Source organism: Homo sapiens, chromosome 18, assembly GCF_000001405.40.
Source record: "Homo sapiens chromosome 18, GRCh38.p14 Primary Assembly".
NCBI lineage: Eukaryota > Metazoa > Chordata > Mammalia > Primates > Hominidae > Homo > Homo sapiens.
The window spans coordinates 74,289,705-74,314,792 of record NC_000018.10 but is presented as its reverse complement, the minus strand read 5'-3'; the positions used below and the strand labels follow the sequence as shown (position 1 = coordinate 74,314,792).

Here is a 25,088-nt window from a genome sequence, read left to right as displayed (position 1 = left end):
AAGGAGAGAGGTGGCTTGGATCAGAGCAGTGGCAGTGGAGGGAATGGGATGGGATGGGATTGGATTCTGGATATATTTTGAAATTAGATTTAATAGGATTTGGATATGGATTGATGTGGGATCTGAGAGAGAGGGAGAGGAATCAAGCATCACTCCAAGGTTTTTATACTAAGAATTCAGAAGGATTGGGTTGCCATTAATTACAAAGGGGAAGACTAAGAGGAGCAAGTTTGGGGCTGAAGATCAGGAGGGTTCATGTCAGTTTTGGACTTGTTGACATTGAGAAATGAAGAGGAACAATAAGAGTTCTGGGGAAAGATCTGCATATAATAGATGCTATTTAAAACCTGAGGCCAGATTGGATCTCCATGAGAGTGCATTTAGGAAGAAAAGGAACCCTCACACTGGATCCTGGGACACCCCAATATGAGGTCAGGGAGATGACAAGGAACTTCATGGGTGGAATGTCAGGAAATTTTCATTAAGTCAGAGATTTGCTACTTTTCAATCCCACATCTTGCCAGCTCCCAGAAGTGGTATTGTGAAAGAATGAGATTTTATATTGTGTTTAATGTCTAATCAGTTAAAGTCATTTACCTATTTTATTTGCAAAATAATTTTTGGCAAAGAGGAACATTTTTACATATCTTCCTAGCAATAAGAATGTGTTCAATGTTTACAATTGTTTGGTTACTTATGACCCCAGATGTGAGATTATAGTAAGTGATTATCACAACGTTGTTGAGACAAATCAGCCTCCTAAGACAAAGACACTTTACATTAATTGAACAAAACACAATCTTCTGAAATAGTCTAACAAATGTAATGTCTCAAATTTAACACCTGCGGTCTGAAGGTTTTATGTCACAGTCCTTGCAATTATTAAAACAAACCTTTCGATATTACAGAAAATCTCTTTGTCCTACTTGGTATGTACACATGGGGAAAGAAACCCCTCTGTTTTATGAAGACAGGTAAAAAGTAAATATAGATTCAATTTAAATTTTGTGATAACTGTGGATATTCACTAGCCTTTCCTATCTATCTAAACAAAGGGAAGCCAAGTGTTCTTTATTCCAAAAAGCACATGTATGAACACTTTATGTTCTTAATATCTGTGCTATTGAACTTATGGCCTCTGGTTTCAACAATAATTTTAACCAAGGCAGAATTAAAGACATTTGAAGTTTGTTTGTTTGTTTGTTTGTTTGTTTGTTTGTTTGTTTTGAGATGGAGTCTCGCCCTGTCGCCCAGGCTGGAGTGCTGTGGCGCAATCTCGGCTCACTGCAACCTCCGCCTCACGGGTTCCCACATTTCTCCTGCCTCTGCCTCCCGAGTAGCTGGGACTACAGGCGCACGCCACTACGCCTGGCTAATTTTTGTATTTTTTAGTAGATACAGGGTTTCACCATATTGACCAGGCTGGTCTTGAACTCCTGACCTCGTGATCCGCCCGCCTCGGCCTTGCAAAGTGCTGGGATTACAGACGTGAGTCACAGTGCCTGGTGTGAAGTTTTAAATTATGTTCACATTACCAAATACCCAAATACCAAAAAGGCCATTTCTAATCATATAAAAGGTGCCTAACAAGTATTTATTGAATGGATTCACAAGCAGATGTCTCCCAATCTTTTATAGTATGCCCGTGAGAAACTGGTAAGATTTTATGTCATGAATTCTGAATCTTGCTACCATCTTTGATTTAGCCGATAAGCTCAAAACCAAATTTGAGATCCACTTGGAGCAATTGTGCAGGACTTGAGGAAATGCATCTTTATATATGCATGAGAGGAACTGTTGTTTAGTGGTTAAGAGCATGGTCTTTGGGGCCAGACTGCCTGGATTTGAATTCTGGTTCTGCCAGTTACTAGCTATGTAATGTTAAGGTAGGATACTTAACCTCTCTGTACTGCAGTTTCATTACCTTAAAAACAGGGATTATAATAGTACTTTTTAGGGTGATAATATACCCCTTAACATAATAAAGGAGTTAATGCACATTAAATACATAAAATACTTACATCAGTGCTTGATGAAAGGACAATTTAAGTGTCAGGTATAGTTAATATTAAAACCATGGGGAAGAAGTATAAAACAGGCTATGGAGGCTCTGGTATTAATACTAGTCACGTTTACTATGTGTCCTTCAGCCTGATATTTTGCTTCTCTAAGATACTATTTGACCATATGACACATGGGAATGACAGTCACTAGCTCAGAGTCTTATTGTTAGGATTAAATGAGATAATGTATATATGTATATAAAATGTTTGGAAATACTTCCACATGATAAACACTTACTGAATGTTAGTTCATCTTGTTACTAACTTTACTCTTGTTTTATCTTACTTTACCACCTTGGTCTTCCTTTGCTTTGGTTTTTATCTGCTATAGATTGAGTCATGTGTCTCCCCCAATTCATATGTTGAAGCTTAACCCCCTTACATGTGACTATATTTGGAGACAGGGCCTACAAGGAGGTAATTAAGATTAATGAGATCATAAGGGTGGGGCTGAGCGTATGTCAAGAGGACAAGCTAGAAGAGCTACCCACTCCAGGGCCTCCTCTCTGTGGAGAGCTGCAGAGACATCAGGAGGACCTGTCTACAGAGAGGAGCTACACACTCCAAGTCCTCCTCTGAGCTATTGTGTCACTCAATAAACCTTCTCTTTGCCTTGCTCACCCTTCTTGTGTCCACATACCTCATTCTTCCCGGATGCAGGAGAAGAGCTCAGGACCTACTGAATGGCAGGGCTGAAAAAGCTGTAAGACAAACAGGGTTGAAACACACCCCTTGCTCGCCACGTTGCAGGTGAAAAGGAAAGAACTGTGGCCCTTCAGGGACCCCAGACCTGGGAGCTCCCCAACCCTGGGTTGTGACTCCCTCTTTGGGGCCCTGCAGTTCCTGGAGTCTCCAAGCTTCTGGGCAACACCACATTCCCTGGTGGCAGCCGTGGAAGCTGCTTGCAGGGTGCCTGGTCCAGCTGCAGCCTTGCAGAGAGTCGGTGCCTGTGCCAGCACCTGCAGCTGCCCTGCCCTGCAGCAGCAGCCAGTGTGCCTGACTGTGTGCAGTGGCTGAACCCCATGCTTGCTCATTCACACACCCCTTGTCCCTCCACACCTGGCTCACCCTTGGCAGGCATGGGATCCAGCCAGTAGCGTGAGCTGAGTGCCGCCTGCCAGGCCAAGTGGGTGGAATAAGCCCAGGGGGCCTGCAGGCAAAGGTGCCACCAGCCACAGAGGTTTCCTGCCAGAAAAGTGACACCCCAAAGATCCTGTAACAGAATCATTGTACTTTATGCATAATTCCTTTTTTGCTATCCTTTTGTGAAGTTCATTTTAATATTCTAACAGTGCTATAAGAAAGCAAGGTAAAGGCTATGCATCCCCACTTGTGCCACAGTAATAAAAAAAGAAGAGTAGTGGTGGGTGGCAAGGAGTGATATTGGTAATCACTGAGGGAACTGAGGGAAAGAAGGATCCAATGGATGCAGTTGCATACTTGGACACTGATGTCCAGGGTTTAGTTTCATCTCGAATCAACCTTAGAGTTCCTAGACTATTTTTATCAAAGTAGATAGCTGTGTATCTGACATGTGACTCCTAGCAGCATAGGGTATGAAAATGCCATTGCCCTCTCCATTGTTCCTGTTGTGTTACTTATCAAGCACCTCAGACTTGGACTTAATCAAGTCCAAGTTGATTACAGCACACATTTTCATTTTAAACTATTTTCATGCTGCTGCTGACATTAGCCTCCCTTTCCCTCTGTTTTCTATACTGGAAAAGAAATAAAACAATATTTCAGCTTTAGTAGAAGTCATGGAAAAAATTTAAAACTTTGCTGGTACTCTTGCTAGTGACAGATAAGTAAGTAAATCCACATTTCTCAGTCTGGTTACAATATAATTATGATTTTCCATGTACTTAAAATCTATCTTCTGGATCACGTTTATGCTCTTATTCATTCAAACACACTTACTGAACATCTGTTGAGTGCTAGGCACTGTGCTAGTGCTGGAGATAGCAATGCGACTAACCATCATTGTCCCAAAGAACCCTTGAGCCAATGAGAGAGACAGCCATGTAGATGGACGATGTAGTTGGTGTGTGTGATATAACCAAAGAATCAAGGAAGCACTGAGAGGGCACCTAGTGGAAGGGAAGGGTGTTGTCAGTACATGCCTCCTTCAGGAAGTGACTCCTAAGCTGAGTCGTAAAGAGTCCTCAGCCCTTGTCCAGTACAGAGAAAGTGGGAGAAAGGAGGTAAAGAGAGTACTCTGGCAAGGGAGAGGACTTGAGCAAGGGTATGGAAGTTGGGAAAGTGTGCTGTGTGGAGAACTAAAAATGGCTAATTTTTGCTGGGTTCTAAGGTTTGAGGCAGAAATGACAAAGGATAAAGCTAGAGAGATAGGCAGGTACCAGATTTTGAGTGATCTTTTATGTTGTGGTAAGCAATTTGAACTTTGGTTATCACGAGACGTGGGAAGGTCTTAGGCAAGTAGTGATATGATCAGATTTTAATTTTGAGTCCACTCCTGTATGGAGGATGGATCTGAAGAAGTCAGGACTAGAGGTGAGAGTAACCTGTTAGGAAGTTATTGAAAGCAGTGTATGCAGGTAATCCTGGAAGGAAGATCTGGAGCAAAGATTGTAGGAATAAAGAGAAGAGCACCGATTGGAGAGATGTTTAACAGGTAAAATCTATAGGACTTGGTGATGAATTCTGTTTTGACGATGACGTGGATGATTCCCAAGCTTCTGACTTGGGTCACTGATAAGGTTAGCCTTTGTGTCCCCACCCAAATCTCATCTTGAAATGTAATCCCCAGGTGTTGAGGGAGAGACCTTGTGGGAGGTGATTGGATCATGGGGGCAGTTTCCCCATGCTGTTCTTGTGATAGCGAGTGAGTTCCCAGGACATCTGATGTATTTATAAGTGTTTGATAGTTCCTCTCTTGCTTGCTTCTTCTCTCTCCTGCCATCCTGTGAAGAGGTGCCTTCTGTCATGATTGTAAGTTTCCCATGGCCTCCCCAGCCATGCAGAACTGAGTCAATTAAGCCTTTGTTTCTTTATAAATTACCCAGTCTCAGGTAGTATCTTTATAGCAGTGTGAGAACGAATTAATATAGTGACCTTATGACAGCGGCAGCATCAACTATTTCATGGAACTGTCTAGAACCCTGGACACTTTACAAAGTTAAATATGATATCTGGAATTTCCTTTTTACCATTTTACCCTTGTTCAATTTATGCTGGAGACAAAAAGAGATTTAAAAAATAAATTTTATATTTCAACCATGTCCTACAATTAAACATTTACTGTCCTTATTGGCCTTCTCCTACTTAAAGATGGACCTACAAGAAAAATGTGCCTAAGGACATATTTACAGTAAGTAAGATGCCCTACATAATTAACTTGTCATTGAAGTTACTGAGGAAAATTCCACTATGTCAGCAATGAACTTCAGACATTTGTTTTGGGTTTATGGTGAGATATTATCCGTTGCGCTCTGCTCCTTGTTCTGCCTCGGCAATCCAAATGATCAGAGGCTCCCAGCAGACATGCTGGTGGGTTATAAAGGTACAAGAGGGAAAAACAACTTCAAGTCATAAATGCTTTATTTTAAAATGAATAAAAACTTTAAAAATTTAGCAGAGTTTGGGAATTACTGCTAATAGATGGGGAATTGTTTAGAAATCAACTAAATGTGGTGTTATCTACTAGAAATAGAAATATTTTTGGAAGGAAAAAAGTAACCTGTGCTAACATGATATTTAAAAGACATGGATATATTACAGATAATTTGTGTAGATATTTGAAGATTTCATTTGCATGGAAGTGCTCATTTGCTGAGGGAACCAGCTCTCTATTGTTGATATAACTATTTGCCTATGGGCAGGAAAGATCTGCCCAAGTAGGTCTTGTGGATTGAGTGACAGAAGGAATTAGAAAAAATAATTTAAAAAGTAACATTACTACTTTTTGGTATTATAGTAGAAGAGAAGAATGAGTGCTTTTTACTTTATATTTTTACCTGAGGAACTTTAGGAGTAGGAGTGGTTTTCTAAATATGTATAAAACTGTCTTTACTGTAGGGAAAGTCAGGAGGAGTTTGTAAATATTTGTGTTGCTTTCTCTGTTGTTTGTCTCTAAATTTGCCTAGATTAACTTCACATCGGAGTAACTGCCAGATAGGATGCTTCTTCATCTTTGTTTTAGAATAAGGAAATCTTTTGAGTAATAATAATAATAGCACAAGATAAAATTTATTTTTTTAATGTTTTATTTTTAATGGGGTACATAGTAGATGTATATAGTTATAGGTTCCATGAGATATTTTGATACAGGCTTACAATGCATAATAATCACATCAGGGTGAATGGGTATCTGTCCCCTCAAGTATTTACCTTTTGTGTTACAAATAATTACACTCTTTTAGTTATTTTAAAATGTACAATTAAATTATTTTTTACTATAGTCACTCTGTTGTGCTAATACATACTAGGTCTTATTCATTCTTTCTATTGTTTTTGTACCCATTAACTATCCCCACTTTTCCCCTACTCCCTGTTATTACCCTTTCCAGCCTCTGGTAACCATCATTACACTATCTGTCTCCATGAATTCAGTTGTTCTAAATTTTTAGCTCCCACAAGTAAGTTAAGAACATGTGAAGTTTGTCTTTCTGTGCCTGGCTTATTTCACTTAATGACCCCCATTTTCATCCATGTTGTTGCAAATGACAGGATCTCATTCTTTTTGTGGCTGAATAGTACTCCATTGTGTATATGCACCACATTTTCTTTATTCATCTGTTGATGGACACTTAGGTTTTGTTAGACCCTTATTAGTGGTTCTGCTTTTTGCCCTTTGCAGCATGTGATCTTTGTACCTACTCCCTGTTCTTACACCCCCTCCCCTTTTGAAACCCTTAATAAAAACTTGCTGATCTGTGACTCAGGCCGGCAGCACGGTCCTACCGATATGTGATGTCACCCCTGGCGGCCCAGCTGTAAAATTCCTCTTTGTACTGTCTCTCTTTATTTCTCAGCCAGCTGACACTCACGGAAAATAGAAAGAATGTATGTTGAAATATTGGGGGCGGGTTCCCCCAATATCTGGTGCGCCAACATGGTTTTCTTTTTCCTAAGGGCATGTGGAAACCCGATTCCCTTTGGTAGGTGCGTAGAAACGTTCATCCATTCGGTCCACAGAAACGCTTGTTCGGCTCCCTGACGATTGGTGAGTTGTCTGTGTATTGTCCAGAGTAACTATGGGGCACACGGAGTCTAAACATTATGCCATCTCTGCTATATTAAACTCCTGTTAAAACAGGGAGGAGTTCGGGTGCCCATGGAAAATACGGTCACCCTATTCAGGGCAGTGGAAGAACACTGTCCTTGGTTTCCTGAAAAGGGAACGTTAGATGTGGAACTTTGGGATCATGTTGAAGAATCTCAGATCAATAATCTAAACTCCTACTTCAAGAAACTAGAAAAATAGAGAAAAGTTTACCCAAAGCAAGCAGAAGGGAGGAAGTAATAAAGATAGAAGGAGAAAGTTAATGAAATTGAAGAAAGAAAAACAATAGAAAAAATCGGTGAAACAAAAAGCTTTCCCTTTTAAAAGATCAGTAAATCTCTGGAAATGTTGACAAATAAATAAAAAGACAAAAGTCACAAATTACAAATATCAGGAATTAAACTGAAGATACCATTACAGACCCTGCAGACATGAAAAGGATAATAAAGGACTACTACAAACAACTCTACACACATAGACTTGACAACTTCAATGAAGCAGACCAATTCTCTGGAAGAGTATAAACTGTGACAACACACCCCATATGAAATGGGTAATTTGAATAGTCCTATAACTATTAAAGAAACTTAATTGATAGCTTAAAATCTCAAAAAGAAATCTCTAGACCCATATGGTCTCACTGGAGAATTCTACCAAACCTTTAAAGAAGTCTAACATTAATTTCACAAAATCTTTTTCAGAAAAATAGAAAAAATAGAAAAGAAGGTCCCAATTTATTCTATGAAGTCACTATTAACCTAACATCAAAACCAGACTATTACAGTACATAAAAAGAAAACCATACACCAATATCTCTCATAAGTACAGATACACAAATTATTAACAAAACATTAAAAATATAATTCAGCAATATATAAAAAGAATTATATTCCATAAACAAGTGGGCTTAATTCCAGAGATGCAAGGCTATTTGAATATTTGAAAATCAATAAATGTATTCCATCATATGAAAGTCTGGAAGAAAAATTACATTATCACATTAACTGATACAGAAAAATAATTAGATAAAATTCACACCCATTTATGATAAAAACTCTTAGAAAACTGAGTATAGTGGAGAGCTTCCTCAGTTTCATAAAGAGCATCTAGAAAGATATACAACATTATACTTACTGGTGATAGACTGAATGCTTTCTGTTTAAGAACAAGAATAAGACAAGGGTGTACAGTCACCACTGCTATTTAACATAGTACTGGATGGTCTACCCTGTGTGAAAAGACAAGAAAAGGAAACAAAAGACACACATCATTTATAGGTGACATAATGATCTATGTAGAAAATGCCAAGAAATTTACAAAAAAACTGAGTTCAGCAAGGTTGCAGGGTATAAGACAAACATAAAAATCAATTGTATTTTTATATATTATCAGTGAACCCATAGAAACAAATAAAAACTACAATACCATTTACAGTTACTCAAAAAAAAGAGGAATGTTTAGCTGTAAATCTAACACAACATGTACAGGACTTATATGCTGAAATTAAAGAATGCTGATAAAAATATTAAGAGAGATTTCTAAATAAGTAGAGAGATATTCTGTGCACATGGATTGGAAAAGTCAACAGCAGTTCTCCCAAACTGGCATACAAGTTTAAAGCAGTTCCTATCAAAATCTCCAATGCATCAATAGATACAGACAAGATTATTCTAAAATGTGTATGGAAAGACAAACAAACTCGAATAGCTAAAACAATTCTGGAAAAAAAAGTGGAAAGAATCATTCTACCTGATTTCAGGACTTATTGCCTAGTTACACTAATCAAGACTAGATGATATTGGGGAAGGATAGATATATAGATCAATGGAACAGAACAGAGAACTCAGAAATAGCTTCATACTAGTACAATGAACTAATTTTTGACAAAGGTGCAAAAGCAATTCAATGAAGGAAAGATAGTCTTTTTAAACAAATGGTGCTTGAGCAACTAGATACAAGAAAAATGAACCCCAGTGTAAGTGACTCAAAATAAATTATACAATTAATGTAATACTATAAAATATTTAGAAGATAGCATATGAGAAAATATAGGGCTTGGTAAAGTTCTTAGACATGACACCAAAAACACGATGCATACGAGAAAAAAAGTGATAAATTGGACCTCTTTAAAATGAAAAACTTTTGCTTTGAGGAAGAGTAAGAGGATGAAAATACAAGCTACAAATGGGGATAAAATGTTCCCAAACCACGTATCTAACAATATATAGATCCATATCTAATGTATAAAAAGAACTCTCAAAACTCAACATAAAAAAATTTTAAATGGGCAAATTTTAAAATGGGCAAAAGACATGAAAAGACCTTTTACTGAAGAGGATATCCAGGTGACAAATAAGTACAGGTATATGAAAAGATGTCCCAAATTAAGACTACAATAAGATATCACTGCATACCTATTAGAAAATTGAAAATAAAAAATAGTGACAATACCGATGCTGGTGAGGATATGGAAAAATTGGATCTCTCATACACTGCTGGTAGGAATATAAGATGGTACAACTACTCTGGAAGACTGTTTAGCAGTTTCCAAAAAAACTAAACATACACTAAACCATATGTCCCAACAGTCACACTTCTGGGCATTTATCCTAAAGAAAATAAAAACTTATGTTCACATAAAAACCTATACACTAATTGTTCATAGCAGTTTTGCTGTAATAGCCAAACACTGGAAACAACCAAAATGTCCCTCAATAGGGGAATAGCTAAATAAACTGTGATACTCTTGTACATCCATACCATGCAATAATACTTGGTAATGAAAAGGCACTGACTATCGATACATTTAAAAACTGGGATGGATGTCAGAGGCATTATGTTAAGCGAAAAAAGCCAATCTAAAAGGTCATTTTGTATGGTCCCATTCATATAACATTTTTTAAATGACAAAATTATATGGATGGGAAACGTTGCTGGTTATGAGGGGTTAGGGGTGGTATGGGAAAGGCAGTGGGTACAACTATAAGGAGGTAGCAACAGGGAGACGTTTGTGGTGATAGAACAGTCTGTATCTTGTTTGTGGTGGTTGTCACACATCTACAGAAATCTAAGACAGGATGGAACTAACATAGGCCTCCTTATCCACAGTTTCATTTTCCATGATTTCATTTACCAACTGTCAACCACGGTCCAAAATTATTAGGTAAAAAATCCTAGAAATAAATAATTCATAAGTTTTAAATTGTGCAGCATTCTGAGTAGCAGGATTAAATCTGGCACCTTCCTGCTTTGCCCTCACATCCCAGCATGTGAATCATCCCTTTATCCAGAATACCCACACTGTAGGCATTCCACGCTCATTAGTTAGCCAGTTAGTGGCCTTCTTGGCTATCAGATTGACTGTTGTGGTATTACACTGTGTGTTCCAGTGAACTTTGTTTCACTTAATACATGGCCCCAAAGTGCAAGAGTAGTGATGCTGGCAATTCAGATATGCCAATGAGAAGCTGTGAAGTGCTTCCTTTAAGTGAAAAAAAAAAAAGAAAGTTCTCAATTTAATAAGGAAAGAAAAAAAATAGGCTGAGACTGCTAAGATCTAAGGTAAGAATGATCTTCGACCTGTGCAATTGTGAAGAAAGAAAAATTCAGGTTAGTTTTGCCGTTGCACCTGAAACTGCAGAAGTTATGACCACAGTGTGTGATAACTGCTTAGTTAAGATGCAAAAGGCATTACATTTCTCAGTGGAAGACATGAACAGAAACATGTTTTTATTGATAATGTTGAAGTCAAAATATAGAGATGAATCTCTAAATTTAAAACACTTTATTTGGGAAGCAAGAATTGCAATTCTGGCCCCACACAGAACATTTTATTTTAGTCTTCAGTCTTTAGTACGTCTGAAGAACAAAGAAGGTTGGAGGTTTTATAAAAAGGAGAAATGTTACGTGTTATTCTGAAAGTTCATTGGCACTAGAAAGTTTGGTGAGTGACAGTAGTGGGTAAAACCGGTCTTAGAGTAGCAGCAGGTTGTTTCAGTAGTGAGTAGCTAAAACTGATTTCAGATTACAACAGGCAGTTTCTGAAGCCAGCCTTGCAGACAATTACATTCTTAGTGCAATGTTATTATATTATGTGCTCCGAGTGCTTTTTCCCCCTGGACTCTCAACTTTGTTCTCGTTGAATATAAAAAATGACCCAATTTGTATGATCACCTTTCACATTTCCCTTTTCTGATCAGGATTTTTCTCTGAAAACATCAGGGACCAACCATTATGTAGTAAGGCTTAATTGTTCCTCAGTGACAGGATGAACCTATCTAATATGTCTAACTTATTAGATTTCTGTGAATTTATGTAATTTTTGAAACGTGATTATCAACAACATACCCATAAATGTAACTAAAAGATCTAGTATCACTTATTTGACAATGTTTCCTACACAGTTTACCAAATAAGCCTAACTAATATCTCTACAAGATGACATATATCTTTTGAGGCTTTCCATGGGCTCAACTGAAAAATCCTAAAGTTAATTCTAGGTCAGAAAGACTTAATTTAGGATTTGATTTTAGGGAAGTTTTTCAAAGACGTTAAAAAGCTCGAAACACTTGATCAAAACAGAATAACAGGTCACTGTAAAATAATAGTCATTCATTTAAAAAGAATGATAGTCAAAAGACTCTAAAAGCAATCCAGAAAGTTACACAGATATAAAAAGCTTAACCCTTTCAAAGCTTAGTTTTCCTAAGTAATAAAAAATCTAATAAAAGCAACATAGAAAGTTATCTTGACAAAATGTAAAATCTTTGTTTCTTGGACCCGCTACCAAAAAGGTAGAGAAAAACTTTCTGCAGGGTGAGTGTTTCTCCTTATGGAACCTCATTTAGATAACCTGGAAGTCAAGCCTGATGCAGACATACGAAGACTATGTCCAAAGTTATGAGTGTAACAATTCATATACATCAAGAAAAGCTAAGAGTACAGAATCAAGTTATACTGAAGGAAAATATTGCTTTTCTAGGCCTTTAAGATAAATATTTCAGTGTCACGCCAAAAAAGCAGAGTTAGAACTGGAAAAAAAAAATGTTTTAGGAGCTGATAGCAAAGTTGGAGAAGAGCACTGTTACCCCAGGCCTTCACAAGGGGAGGAAAAAGGTGAAAGCAGGGATGTCGGATCTACAAGTCACGTGTAGCGAGATATAGCAAAAGTTGAATCTCTGAGATGTGAATCTGAGAAATTTCAAAAGGAAAACTTTACCTCAGGAAATGAAATTACCATTTTCAATGAAAAGGGCAGCATTTTAAACCTGAAACTAGAGAAATTAAATAGATCTCAGGAAAAAATGGCAGAAACAAAAATTGTGCAGTTCAGAGCATGGCTGTTAAACAGATTTTAGAATTAAAAATCAAAACTTCTTGCAGTTTTATTAAGGACAGATCAGTACTTCAGGAAATATTTGTTATTTTAAATATAGAGGATTATACTCTGGTCCGGTATCAGCAACTCCTGACACCAGTGTTTAAGTTTTAGAAAAACACATAAACAATTTCTTTCTAATCCCAGCCAATCTGATCACAAATAAAACTTCCTTCATAAAGCCCATCTTCTATAAATCCTCTTCAACTTGTTTAGAACTTTCATTATTTTCCCAAGCCCCCATTCTTAGTCCTATAGTTTTTCTTTTTTGTAAATTTTGGAATAACTAATTATTTAATCTCAGGACAAAAATGTACCACTTAAGATTTTTTTCTCATACAAAGTTATTTTTCCCTAAATTCATATTTTGATTAATAGACCTAAACATATTTAGTATTTTTATAAAATTTAAGAAGCCAAGAAAGAACTTTGATGTATTTACCAATTTGGCTCAATTTTGGATATAACTTGGTCATTTAATGAGTATTATTACTTAATACAACTTTAAAATTTTAAATTGCATAGAAGTTTCATTTATAAATGTTAATTTCATTTCCGATTACCTAATTTATTTTTTAGTAATTACACCTAGATTACTTACGAAAATTAAAATATTAGAGCAAGTCACTATTTTATTTTTTATTAACCAATTTCATAGCCTGTTAATATCCAGTGTTTACCTAAGGTGAAACCTTAAAGTTTAATACATGGGTATCCTGTTCTTAACCCAGAAAATACAGCTGTTTTTATTAAATCAACAATATTAAACCTTATCAATCAAAGAATTGCATACACAAACATTATTTTGTTTTAGGCTGGGTTTATAGCTTTATAACCTTAAGAACTCTAGCAGAGGCAAATATAAAACTGAACAATAAACCCAGCCAAAAATGTTGACAATTTTGAAGACTTTTCTAATTTTATTTTATCAACAATTTAAAAACCAATTAATTTATCAAGGATTTGTTTAAGTAAGGCAAAGCAAAAATATTTGGGGTTGTTACATATTTTATATGAGTACATATTTTATCTAAATAGAATTCCTTAAGGGATTTCTGGCGGACTACACCAGGTTTTATCATGTAGATGCAACACATCACACAATACATGTATATATGCATAAATACATCTAAACACATACACATACATATAAATAAAGATCTTACAGATTTTATTTTAGAATTTTAGTCATGAGATATTAAAACATACATACTGGTTTCCTAAAAAGCAGTTGAATTGAAATTATTTCCTCACAAACTGGGAGAAGGCTAAGCTTTTAACTTGTTGTTTGTAGTCCTGATATGGCTGTGAAACAAATTTTGAGCAAAGCAGTTTGAGGCAGTTACCAACATAGTGGATTGGACAAAGAGTAACTGTGGAAATGTGTCTGAATTACGTGAGGAGGGGTAGAAGGTAAGAGTTACTCTAACAAGGTCTGTACAGTGTTTTCTTGTTCTCAATTATTTGTCCTTGAAGATAAAAATGCTGCCATTCCTTATAGTATAGTGTTTTACATGAGAATTTAATCTTTAGCTTTTAAGAAACAGCACGAAGGTCAAAACAATTTTATTTTATATCTGCTGGTTTCAAGTGTTTAGCTATTCAACAGAATAGCTTAGCTGTTTTAGAAAAAGAAAGTTTAGGTTACAAAAGGGTGAAGAGGAGGAATTGTAAGAAGGGGAGGGGAAGATCCAGAGAGGAAAGCCTCCCAGCTACCTTTGAGACAGTATTTTGTAGTTAGACAGTCTTTGAGTGCTGATTTTTTTTTTTTGCCTCAAAGTATCAATTGAAATCTAATTCTTATTTGCAGTGTATGATTTTATAGCTGTGGTTTTTTAGTTTAGTTTTAAGAACAATAGTCTGTTTGAATGATCTCTGTAATGTTTAAACATGTTACCAGGTGGAGTTAAAAAAAAATTTTGCCATGCCTCTGAACTTTGAGAGCCCATTTGTAACTAAATTTATCTAGGTGATTAAGCACTTGCCAATTAGATGCAAGTGCTAATAAACAAAGGCCAAGTAAATGCAAGAACTGATAGAAAATAAAGTACATATTTACCAAGAAAGATGACAGTCTTCTCCAAATGAAGAGGAAAATTCCCTCATCCAAACCTCAAAGCCAAGATGAGTCAGCTTTGGAATCCCACTTCAGATACCAAGTATGTCCAAGTCAAATACAATACAGAGGTGAATCTAAAACGTTTTATTTGGGAAGCAAGAACTGCAAGTCCAAGCATACACGAGTGGTCTTTGGTATGTCCAACGAACAAAGGGAAAGTTTGAGGTTTTATAAAAAGGAGTCACATGTATTGTTCTGAAAGTTCATTAGCACTTGTAAAGTTTTGGGGACCTGGCAAGTTCTGATTGGTGAGTGTTGGTGGTGGGTAAAAAGTCTTATAGTAGAAGCAGGTTGTTTCAATAGCTATTAGATAAAACTGGTTTTAAGTTAACAATAACCAGTTTCTGTGGGTGGGGTTTCAGACAATTACATTCTTAGGGTAATATATGATGTTTCCTGAGTGCTTTTCTCCCCTGGCCTCTCAACTTTGTTTTAATTGGGCATGATAAGAATGACTCAATTTATATGATCAACTTTCACAGTGGCAATCAGGTTTGGTACTATTGGTGGGTTCAGACATCTACTGGAGTCTTAGAACTATTCCCTGAGGATAAGGGGGGCCTACTGTGGGCACATACATTATACAATGCCAATTTCCTTGTTTTGATATTGTACTATAGTTATAAAAAGATGTAACCATTGGGGGAAACTGGATGAAGGGTACACAGCACCTCTACTATATTTGCAACTTCTTGTGAACCTACAATTATTTCACAATTAAAGATTTGAAATCGTTTCAACATATTTTTGTTGGTTAATGTGAAATAAAATATTTCTATATTATATATGAACCATGACTGATTAGTATATAATAGTACAAATAATTTACCCTCTTAACACTACTTAGTACTTAGAAATATCTCTGAATAACAAAATGTTACACTTGGAAATGTCTGCTTGATATGAAAAAAATGTGATCATTTTGGAATGCTTAAAAAATGTGTGTGTGCATTGTCACGTGTGTCCGTGTGAAGGGACCACCAACAGGCTTTGTGTGAGCAATAAAGCTTTTTAATTGCAGGTGGGCTAAGTCCAAAAAGAGAGTCAGCAAAGGAAGTTAGGGCTGGGGCAGTTTTATAGGATTTGGGTAGGTAGTGGAAAATTACAGTCAAAGGGGGTTGTTCTCTTGAGGGCAGGGGCGGGGGTCACAAGGTGCTCAGTGGGGGAGCTTCTGAGCCAGAAGGAATTTCACAAGGTAATGTCATCAGTTAAGGCAGGAACCGACCATTTTCACTTCTTTTGTGATTCTTCAGTAGCTTCGTGCCATCTGGATGTATATGTGCAGGCTTGGGCTCAGAGTCCTGACATTCTTGTCTTCTTATATTAATAAGAAAAACAAACAGTGGTGAAGTGTTGGGGTGGGGAAAATTTTGGGGGGTGGTATGGAGAGATAATGGGTGATGTTTCTCAGGGCTGCTTCGAGCAGGATTAGGGGTGGCATGGGAACCTAGAGTGGGAGAGATTAAGAGGAAGGAAGATTTTGTGGTAAGGGGTGATATTCTGGGGTTGTTAGAAGGAGCATTTGTCATATAGGATGATTGGTGATGGCCTGGATATGGTTTTGTATGAACTGAGAAACTAAACAGAAGACATAAGGTCCGAATAAGAAAAGGAGAAAAACAAGTATTAAAGGACTAAGAATTGGGAGGACCCAGGACTTCAAATTAGAGAGTGCCTAAGGGGGTTCAGCATGATTATTTGCTTGGCTGGTGAGTTTTTGGCCTCTATCCTTGAATTTTTTTATGTTGTCATATACCAGGCCAGACTGATTTAGGTAAAAACAACAGTCTTCATTTAAAAATATACAGAGTCTTCCTTTTTCAGCAGTGAGTAAGTCAAGGCCTATTCCTGTCTTCTTATATTAATAATAAGAAAAAATAAAATAATAGTGAAGTGTTGGTGTCATGAGGGGAACAGGAAGCTGCTCGGTCTTATTTGCAAATTGATTTTTGGGGTAAGGAAAACTAGTGTACATGTTCCTGTCTCATTAACAGGTGGACACATGCAGGTGGAGGAGCCACAGAGGAAGAAGAGACCTTGCGTAAGGCGAAACTGGAAATGTAAAATGGGTGAAAGAAGTGGAGTGTGCTTTTCCAGCAAAGGCCATTTATCCATTCCAAGAGGGAGTTAAGAGTGGCAGTTAGGGGATAAGACCAGGACCAGCTATGATGGTTTGGAGGAAAAGTATAAGCTGGCAGTGTAGACAAGGGCAGGGCATGTATGGAGAGGTGAAAACGAAGAATAGGAGTATGACTAGACAGAAGAGAGCAGGGATGAAAAGTTTTTGGGATGCAGTCTAAGTAGTGGGGGTGACTGCATAAGGCCCTGTTGCAAAGACTCTGGTAAGGAAGGATAGACCTAACAAAATGAAGGGATGTATTAGGCTCATAAGGGTTACTACTGTTCTTCAGAAATGTGGGTGAGTTTAAGGGAAGTAGGGGTGAGTACTCGCGACTTCCAGAAGGAAGAGGAGAGATCAGGCTGGCTGTCCAATGGACACGGCTTTATTCTGGAACGGTGAACCCAATGGGGAGGGTCCTGCAGGAGGACGGCAGTTAGGGTATTATAGATGACTAAGTAGGGTCCGGTCCGTCGAGGTTGTAGAGTTTGAGGGGTCAGATTCTTAACAAGAACTGATCGTCCAGATAGGGTGTCTTCATAAGGCTGGGAATCTGGAATAGGCAAGAGAAGATTAGCAGCCTGGCAAATTTCCTGTCTAGCCTGCTGGAGGACTGGAAGATAGTCACCTAGAGGGCTGGTGTCTGGGACGAGGTTGGGGCCGAGCAAGAAAGGGCATCCATATAAAAGTTCAAATGGGCTGTACTCTGTAGCATCTCGAGGACAGGCTCTAATTCTGAGAAGGGAAAGTGGTAAAAGTACTATCCGGTCCTTTTTAAATTGGAGGCTGAGCTTAGTGAGGTGTGTCTTTAAAAGACCATTAGTCCGTTCTACCTTTCCTGAAGATTGAGGACGATAAGGGGTATGAAGTTTCCACTGAATACCAAGAGCCTGAGAAACTGCTTGGGTGATTTGACTAATAAAGGCCCGTCCGCTATTGGACTGCACAGAAGTGGGAAGTCCAAACCAAGGAATTATGTCTGACAGAAGGGAAGAAATGACCACGGTGGCCTTCTCAGACCCTGTGGGAAAGGCCTCTACCTATCTGGTGAAAGTGTCTTCCCAGACCAAGAGGTATGTTAGTTTCCTGACTCGGGGCATACGAGTAAAGTCAATTTGCCAGTCCTGGGCAGGGGCAAATCTCCGAGCTTGATGTGTAGGGAAGGGAGGGGGCCTCAACAATCCCTGAGGAGTAGAATAGCAGATAGAACACAGAGAAGCGATTTCCTTGAGAATAGATTTCCACGATGGAAAGGAAATGAGAGGTTCTAAGAGGCGGGTTAGCAGCTTATAACATACATGGAAGAGGTTATGAAGTGACGACAGAATAGAATGGGCCTGTGAGGCTGGAAGGAGATATTTTCCTTGGTCTAAGAACCATTTACCTTGAGTGGGGAGGGATTGATAGGTAGAAACTTCAGTGGGAGAGTAAGTAGGAGTGACTGATGAGAAGGAGAAAAACTGGCCGTGAGGGACAGAAGTAGGAATGCTAGCTGCTTCTTTAGCTACCTTATCAGCATAAGCATTGCCCTGAGCGACGCGATCTGATGCCTTTTGATGGCCCTTGCAGTGAATGACTCCAGCTTCCTTTGGAAGTAAAGTGGCCTTGAGAAGAGTTTTTATTAAAGAGGCATTAATGATGGAGGACCCTTGTGTAGTGAGGAAACCTCTTTCAGCCCATATAACAGCATGGTGGTACGGGATATGGAAGGCATATTTAGAGTCAGTATAAATATTGACATGCAGTCCCTTTGCAAGAGTGAGGGCCCAGGTTAAGACAATGAGTTTGGCTTGCTGAGAGGTAGTGGAGGGGGGCAGAGTGGTAGCCTCAGTGATAGATGTGGAAGACACTATAGCATAGCCTGCCTTTGCCAGTGATTGGCGATTGGGCCTGGAAGAACTATCATCAATAAACCAAGCGTGGTCTGGGTGGGGAACAGGAAAGAGGTAATATGGGGAAATGGGGAGAATGAATGGTTTCGTTAGGATGGCAAAACCAGGTATCTAAAGGCAAAAGTACCTAACCATGCCTAGGAAGGAAAGGAGTTGTTTTGTAGAAGGGGTTGGGGTTTGGGAGATTAGCTGGACATGATTAGCAGGGAGAGCACATGTATTTTTATGAAGAATTATGCCGAGATAGGTAACGGATGAGGAAGAAATTTGGGCTTGACTGAAGTAATGGGGGCTGTCCCTGAAGCCTTGCGCCAGTACAGCCCAGGTAAGTTGCTGAGGCTGATGGGTGTCAGGGTCAGTCTAAGTGAAAGCGAAGAGAGGCTGGGATGAAAGGTGCAAAGGAATAGTAAAGAAAGCATGTTTGAGATCCAGAACAGAATGGGTTATGGAGGGGTAAAATGGGGGAATTGTAAGGAGAGTTTATAGGCTTTATAAGGCCATGCTGTAACAAGTGAGTGATAACAGGCTTTAATTCTTTTAAAGCGTGCTGTGGGATGGGATATTGGTGTTGAGCAGGGTAAGGGTGATTAGGTTTTAATGGGATGGTAAGGGGTGCATGATCAGTTGCCAAGGAGGGAGTAGAGATGTCTCATACTTGTGGATTAAGGTGAGGAGATACAAGGAAAATATGTGAAGGAGGCTTTGAACTGGGAAAAAGGGTGACAATGAGGTGTGGCTGTAGCCTAGGAATAGTCAGGGAAGCAGATAATTTAGTTAAAATGCCTCGACCTAATAAGGGAACTGGGCAGGCGGGAATAACTAAAAAGGAGCGCATAAAAGAATACTGTCCCAGTTGGCACCAGAATTGGGGAGTTTTAAGAGGTTTAGAAGCCTGGCCGTCAATACCCACAACTGTTATGGAGGCAAGGGAAAGAGGCCCTTGAAAAGAAGGTAATGTGCAGTGGATAGCCTCCGTATTAAGAAGGGGATGGACTCATCCTCCACTGTAAGAGTTACCTAAAGCATCTATCATGGTCCAGGAGGCTTCCAAGGCGATCGGGCAGTGTCAGTCTTCAGCCACTAAGCCGAGAAGATCTGGGAAGGAGTCAGTCAGTGAGCCTTGCGCCAGAGTTCCAGGAACTCTAGGAATGGCTGCCAGGTGAGTTGGACAGTCCAATTTCCAGTGGGGTCCTGCACAGATGGGACATTGCTTAGGAGGAATCCGGGCTGCAGACATTCCTTGGCCCAGTGGCCACATTTTCAGTACTTGAAGCAAGATCCTGGGGTAGGAGGTCTTGGAAGAACGCCTGGCCACTGCGGTTTAGGCGTTTTGAAATTCTTGTATGCTGGAGATGTGGCTGAAGTTTCTCTCACAGCAGAGGCAAGTAATTGCCACTCTTCTCTATTATTGTACACCTTGAAGGCAAGGTTAAGTCCTGTTGTGGGGTTTGAGGGCTGGAATCCAATTTTTGGAGCTTTTTCTAACGTCAGGAGTGGGTTGGGTAATAAAATGCATACTGAGAATAAGACGGCCTTCTGGCCTCTCTGGGTCTAGGGCGGTAAGGCGTTTAAGGGTTGTTGCCAAACGGGCCATGAACTGGGCTGGGGTTTTATATTTGATGAAAAAGAGCCTAACTGTTTTGGGAGAGGTCGGATAAAGAAAACAGGAGCAACAACCTTGACTATGCCTTTAGCTCCAGCCACCTCTTTAAGAGGAAATTGTTGGGCAGGTGGGGTAGGGCTAGTCAAGGAACAAAACCATAAGCCGGACTAGGTGTGAGGAGGGGAAGTGATAGAAGGATTATAGAGTGGGGGAACAGAGGCTGCGGAAGAATTGGGACCTGGCTCAGCCCGGCGAGCAGGGGAGAGGTCAGATGGCTCCACAGAAAAGGAGGATTCAAAGTACTCAGAGCTTGGGGTGGAGACCGAAGGAACACACAGGAGAGAAAGAAGAAAGATTTGGGATGAGTCGCATTGGGAGCAGAGACTAGGGCGGGACTGATGTGTAGAAGAATGCCTGGATGTCAGGAACCTCAGACCATTTGCCCATTTTACGACAAGAATTATCTAGATCTTGTAGGGTGGAGAAATTGAAAGTGCCATTTTCTGGCTATTTGGAACCACTGTCAAGTTTGTATTGGGGTCAGGTGGTATTGCAGAAGAAAATAAGGTGTTTAGGTTTTAGGTCAGGCGAGAGTTGAAGAGGTTTTAAGTTCTTGAGAACACAGGCTAAGGGAGAAGAAGGAGGAATGGAGGGTGGAAGGTTGCCCATAGTGAAGGAGGCAAGCCCAGAGAAAAGAGAGGGCAGAGACACAGGGGGGGTCGGTACTTGACACCAAGGTGAAGGATCAAGGCAGGTGTCCCTGTGGTGATCAGACACCTCTGAAATGTGGGTGAATAATCAGGCAGGCATCCCTGCAGTGATTAAACACCAAGGGAAGACTGTCTTCTCGAGTCCGTGACCAGTGCCGGAGTTTTGGGTTCACGGATAAAACACATCTCCTCTGTCTCTATCAGAAAAGGAAAGGAACTGAAATTAAGGGAAGGGATAGATTGAAGGGTGGTGCCAAAATTGAAAGGAGAAAGAGGTTGAGAGATAGTGAGAGAGGTTGGAGAAGAGAGTAAAAAGAAGCTGCTTACCCAATTTAAAATTGGTGAGATGTTCCTGGAGCTGGTTGGTCTGAGGACCCGAGGTTGTAGGTGGATCTTTCTCACAGAGCAAAGAGCAGGAGGACAGGTGACTGTCTTATCAGTTAAGGCAGGAACCGGCCATTTTCACTTCTTTTGTGATTCTTCAGTTGCTTCAGCATTTTCACTTCTTTTGTGATTCTTCAGTTGCTTCAGGCCATCTGGATGTATATGTGCAGGCTTGGGCTCAGAGGCCTGACATGCGTGTGTTTTGTGTTTTTCTGGATAGGCATGCATTCCTATGGAGGAGGTAAGCAGGGGGAAGGGAGCTCACATTCATCAGACACCTAGTATGTGTAGGAACCTTCTGCATCCCTGGAAGGATGGATGACCCCACATGTGAAACCTCTCGTGTGGTTCTTTTTGGAATTAACTACCATTGCTGAAAAGGGCCTACATAAAATATCAAATTTTAACATGCTGGAATTTTTCTTTATTTTTTTTCTCCTTCAAACATTTGTAGCTCTTTATATGTGGTATTTCCTCTGTGTCAGAAGGGAAAGAGGGTGCCCTTTGGGGAAGTTCTCTTCCAGACTCCTAGAAGAGAATCTGATTTACCTTAAATGCACAAACAAGGCCTTGCCATGTCACTGGCCAACCGCAGACAAACTACTTCAGTCACAGAAATAATTTGGACACTTTTGCTTTTTAAGGAAAAGATGATTTCCCTGGATTTTTTTCCTGTGAGGACGAGGCATTCCAAAACCCCAGCGGGGTCAGGCACAGTTCGCCAACTTTATGTTTTGGGGGGCAGCGCATTTGCTTCCCGAAGTGAGTTGCGAAACCGTTTTCTAGCGCGCACGGGGCTTTCATCTCTTCCGTGCATGCGAACGGCTTTCCGAGATGCCCCCTTTATGGGCTTGGCCATCGCTACTTTTGTTACAAATTAACGTCTGGGACTCGGACTGCTGCCAATAGGAAACTCCCGCGATTCGCTGCCTAGTTCGCCGCCCTCACAAGACTGGACTCTGCACAGGCCATCCATGCCCGCTGGTGCACCTCGCTCTCTCGCACGCTTAACCCGCGGGGACGCCCCCGACCTCCCACCTCAGCCCTCGCCACAGTTAGTCCCGCCCTTCCGCGCAGACTCCGTGGAGTCCTGTCACGCTCTCCGCGCGCTGCGGCAGCCGGGAGATTGTGAAGGGCACCTCCGGCAGCCAATTAACACCCGCATACTGGGCGGGACCACGCTTGGGCAGGCGGAGGGGGTCGACCGAAGGCGGGGACTTTTGAGTGACAAGGATGATGGCCAACCGTCGGAGGCCCTTCTACTGCGCCCCGCCCCTGAGCCGGCCGCCCAGCCCCCAGTGGGGTTCCCGGCGCGGGGAATGTCCCGGGTGGAGCTGGCTGAGTCGCGCGCTCTGCTCCACCCGACGGGGCTGTGTGTGCTGGGCCTGGCTCGCGGCGAACCGAGATGGCAGAGCAGTCGGACGAGGCCGTGAAGTACTACACCCTAGAGGAGATTCAGAAGCACAACCACAGCAAGAGCACCTGGCTGATCCTGCACCACAAGGTGTACGATTTGACCAAATTTCTGGAAGAGGTGAGTTGGGGATGAGCGGCTTGGGGCGCAGGGAGCGTGGGCCGGGTTTGGGGGTTCACTGGCATGACCTGTCTTTCGCGGCCCGGAGTCCGCATACCTACGCCTAGGCGCGCCCCCCGAGTTCGCTCACCTGCGCGTGTACGCCTGGGCGCGCTTCCGAGTCCGCACACCTGCGCGTGCAAGCCTGGGCGCCCCCCACCGCCCCAAGTCCGCACACCTGCGCGCTCACACCTGGGAGCGCTCCCCGAGTCCGCACACCTGCTAGTGTACACCTGGGCGCTCTCCTCGAGTCCGCACACCTGCGCGTGCACACCTGGGGAGCGCTCCCTGAGTCCGCACACCTGCGCGTGTACACCTGGGAGCGCTCCCCGAATCCGTACACCTGCGCGTGCACACCTGGGAGCGCCCTGCGCGGCGGCATCCTCGCTAGGTGGTGCTGGAGCAGCCTTCCGGGGATAGCGCGCAGCCATGCGGGGGATTTAAATGATCCCTTTCTCCCTTGAGTTTGAATAGAAGGGTGTCCTTCCAGGACCGGCGGCATTCCCGCAGTGGCCGGCTGGAGACCACCCACCCCGAGAGCTGCGGATCCCGCCGGAGGGGACCCCAAGTGCGGAGGTCGGGTGTGGTCCGGGCCTGCGCTTCCCGCGGCAGCCACTGGCCGACCTTGCGGTCCACACCCACTCGCGTTCGCGTTCACCTGGAAGAGGCTCGGTGTTAATTAACCTTTTCCAGTCACGCCTTGGCAGCCAGGTGCCGTGCTTGACTCCTGAGACCGCGGTGTGTGGCTGGAGCAAGAACACAGAGGCCAGGCAGAGCAGCGGACGTTCTGCGTGGGACTCGCCCCTAACAGCTTTGGAAGGTGTAATAGGAAACGTTGGTTAACTTGAAGACATTCCTTTGATAAGATTCTTTGCATTCGGTTATAATTTTTGCCGCACACGCTAAGGGGCGCTTTTGGTGATTGTCTTAGATCCTCTGGAAGTGTTTTACTACTTTTGGGGGAGTCTCAATCATAAATCTTAACGCATGCTCACGCCCCCTCCCAATAATGAGAAGGTTTAGTGATGGGAATTTTTTACATAGTCGGGGAGCAGGGGACAAAAATAGATGCCTGGTCTGAGCTGGATCACAGTTTATATCAGAGGACTTTGTTTTTGCAGAAAATGTTAAAATCAAAAGGCCTGTTTTAAAAAATGAGGCTGGGCCAAGCACGGTGGCTCACACATGTAATCCCAGCACTTTGGGAGGCTGAGGCGGGTGGATCACTTGAGTCTAGGAGTTCGAGACCAGCTTGACCAACATGGCGAAACCCCATCTCTAACCAAAATACCAAAATTAGCCAGGCCTGGCGGGGCACGCCTGTAGTCCCAGCTACTCGGGAGGCTGAGACAGGAGAATCCCTTAAACCTGGGAGGCAGAGGTTGCAGTGAGCCGAAATCGCACCACTTTGCTCCAGCCTGGGGGACAGAGTGAGACTCTGTCTCTAAATAAATAAATAAAATTAAATAATAAGGCTGGAGTTGATGTTTATTGGTAAGGTATTTCACTCTGGAGCAGTGCCCGAAGATAAAGTCATGTTACCATTTAGTAAGGAGGGGTTTATGTTGGGAAATCAGAGCTGACCTGTCCTCTCCCTCCTGCCCGGCTGCAGATCTTGTCATATAACATCAATTCTCATTAACTCTAAATGTGGAATTTTAAGATACAGTGTGTGCTTTGTCTATTTGTGCTTATAGAAGAAGTAGCATAAGAGAATATTAGGATATTTTATATTATGAAGCATTTTCTTCTTTTCTTGTCTTCTCCTAAAGCGAGTTTTTTCAACCCTGGCACTGTTGACATTTTGGGCCAGCCGATCTTTGTTGTGGCGTCTGTCCTGGGCATTGTAGGATATTGAGCCACCTCCCTGAGTTCTACCCACTAGATGACCGGTACCACCACCTCCCCTATTTTTTTTTTTTTTTTTTTTTGAGACAGAGTTTTGCTCTTGTGGCCCAGGCTGGAGTGCAATGGTGTGATCTCGACTCACTGCAACCTCTGCC

At 41.3% G+C, this 25,088-nt stretch overlaps 1 protein-coding gene across 4 annotated transcripts in view, besides 8 other annotated features; it reads left to right on the top strand.

Moving 5' to 3' along the window:
* Window positions 3,760-3,929: an enhancer, noted in NCBI's record as "experimental_50334 CRE fragment used in MPRA reporter constructs". NCBI's record gives its function as "activates a minimal promoter by MPRAs in K562 erythroleukemia cells, with activity observed for both the introgressed and non-introgressed 18:71978184 variant alleles {active_cell/tissue: K562}" and the evidence as "EXISTENCE:reporter gene assay evidence [ECO:0000049][PMID:34662402]".
* Window positions 4,805-4,974: an enhancer, noted in NCBI's record as "experimental_50330 CRE fragment used in MPRA reporter constructs". NCBI's record gives its function as "activates a minimal promoter by MPRAs in K562 erythroleukemia cells, with activity observed for the non-introgressed 18:71977139 variant allele {active_cell/tissue: K562}" and the evidence as "EXISTENCE:reporter gene assay evidence [ECO:0000049][PMID:34662402]".
* Window positions 14,112-14,312: a silencer, noted in NCBI's record as "peak3184 fragment used in MPRA reporter construct". NCBI's record gives its function as "represses an SCP1 promoter by STARR-seq MPRAs in K562 erythroleukemia cells {active_cell/tissue: K562}" and the evidence as "EXISTENCE:reporter gene assay evidence [ECO:0000049][PMID:32103011]".
* Window positions 21,742-21,911: an enhancer, noted in NCBI's record as "experimental_50307 CRE fragment used in MPRA reporter constructs". NCBI's record gives its function as "activates a minimal promoter by MPRAs in K562 erythroleukemia cells, with activity observed for the non-introgressed 18:71960202 variant allele {active_cell/tissue: K562}" and the evidence as "EXISTENCE:reporter gene assay evidence [ECO:0000049][PMID:34662402]".
* Window positions 22,271-22,330: an enhancer, noted in NCBI's record as "active region_13495". NCBI's record gives its function as "activates an Ori minimal core promoter by ATAC-STARR-seq in GM12878 lymphoblastoid cells {active_cell/tissue: GM12878}" and the evidence as "EXISTENCE:reporter gene assay evidence [ECO:0000049][PMID:35858748]".
* Window positions 22,620-22,789: an enhancer, noted in NCBI's record as "experimental_50303 CRE fragment used in MPRA reporter constructs". NCBI's record gives its function as "activates a minimal promoter by MPRAs in K562 erythroleukemia cells, with activity observed for both the introgressed and non-introgressed 18:71959324 variant alleles {active_cell/tissue: K562}" and the evidence as "EXISTENCE:reporter gene assay evidence [ECO:0000049][PMID:34662402]".
* Window positions 22,830-25,088, top strand: part of CYB5A (cytochrome b5 type A) — a 41,118-nt gene continuing 38,859 nt past the window's right edge. For all 4 annotated transcript variants that reach the window (NM_001190807.3, NM_148923.4, NM_001914.4 and 1 more), the window contains exon 1: window positions 22,830-23,046. In NM_001190807.3, the coding sequence (NP_001177736.1) occupies window positions 22,918-23,046 (129 nt within the window). In that variant the 5' untranslated portion in view covers window positions 22,830-22,917. The remainder of the gene's footprint in view (window positions 23,047-25,088) is intronic.
* Window positions 22,869-23,038: an enhancer, noted in NCBI's record as "experimental_50301 CRE fragment used in MPRA reporter constructs". NCBI's record gives its function as "activates a minimal promoter by MPRAs in K562 erythroleukemia cells, with activity observed for the non-introgressed 18:71959075 variant allele {active_cell/tissue: K562}" and the evidence as "EXISTENCE:reporter gene assay evidence [ECO:0000049][PMID:34662402]".
* Window positions 23,644-24,251: an enhancer, noted in NCBI's record as "H3K4me1 hESC enhancer chr18:71957777-71958384 (GRCh37/hg19 assembly coordinates)". NCBI's record gives its function as "activates a minimal SCP1, AML or CMV promoter by ChIP-STARR-seq in primed H9 embryonic stem cells {active_cell/tissue: H9 hESC(primed)}" and the evidence as "EXISTENCE:reporter gene assay evidence [ECO:0000049][PMID:30033119]".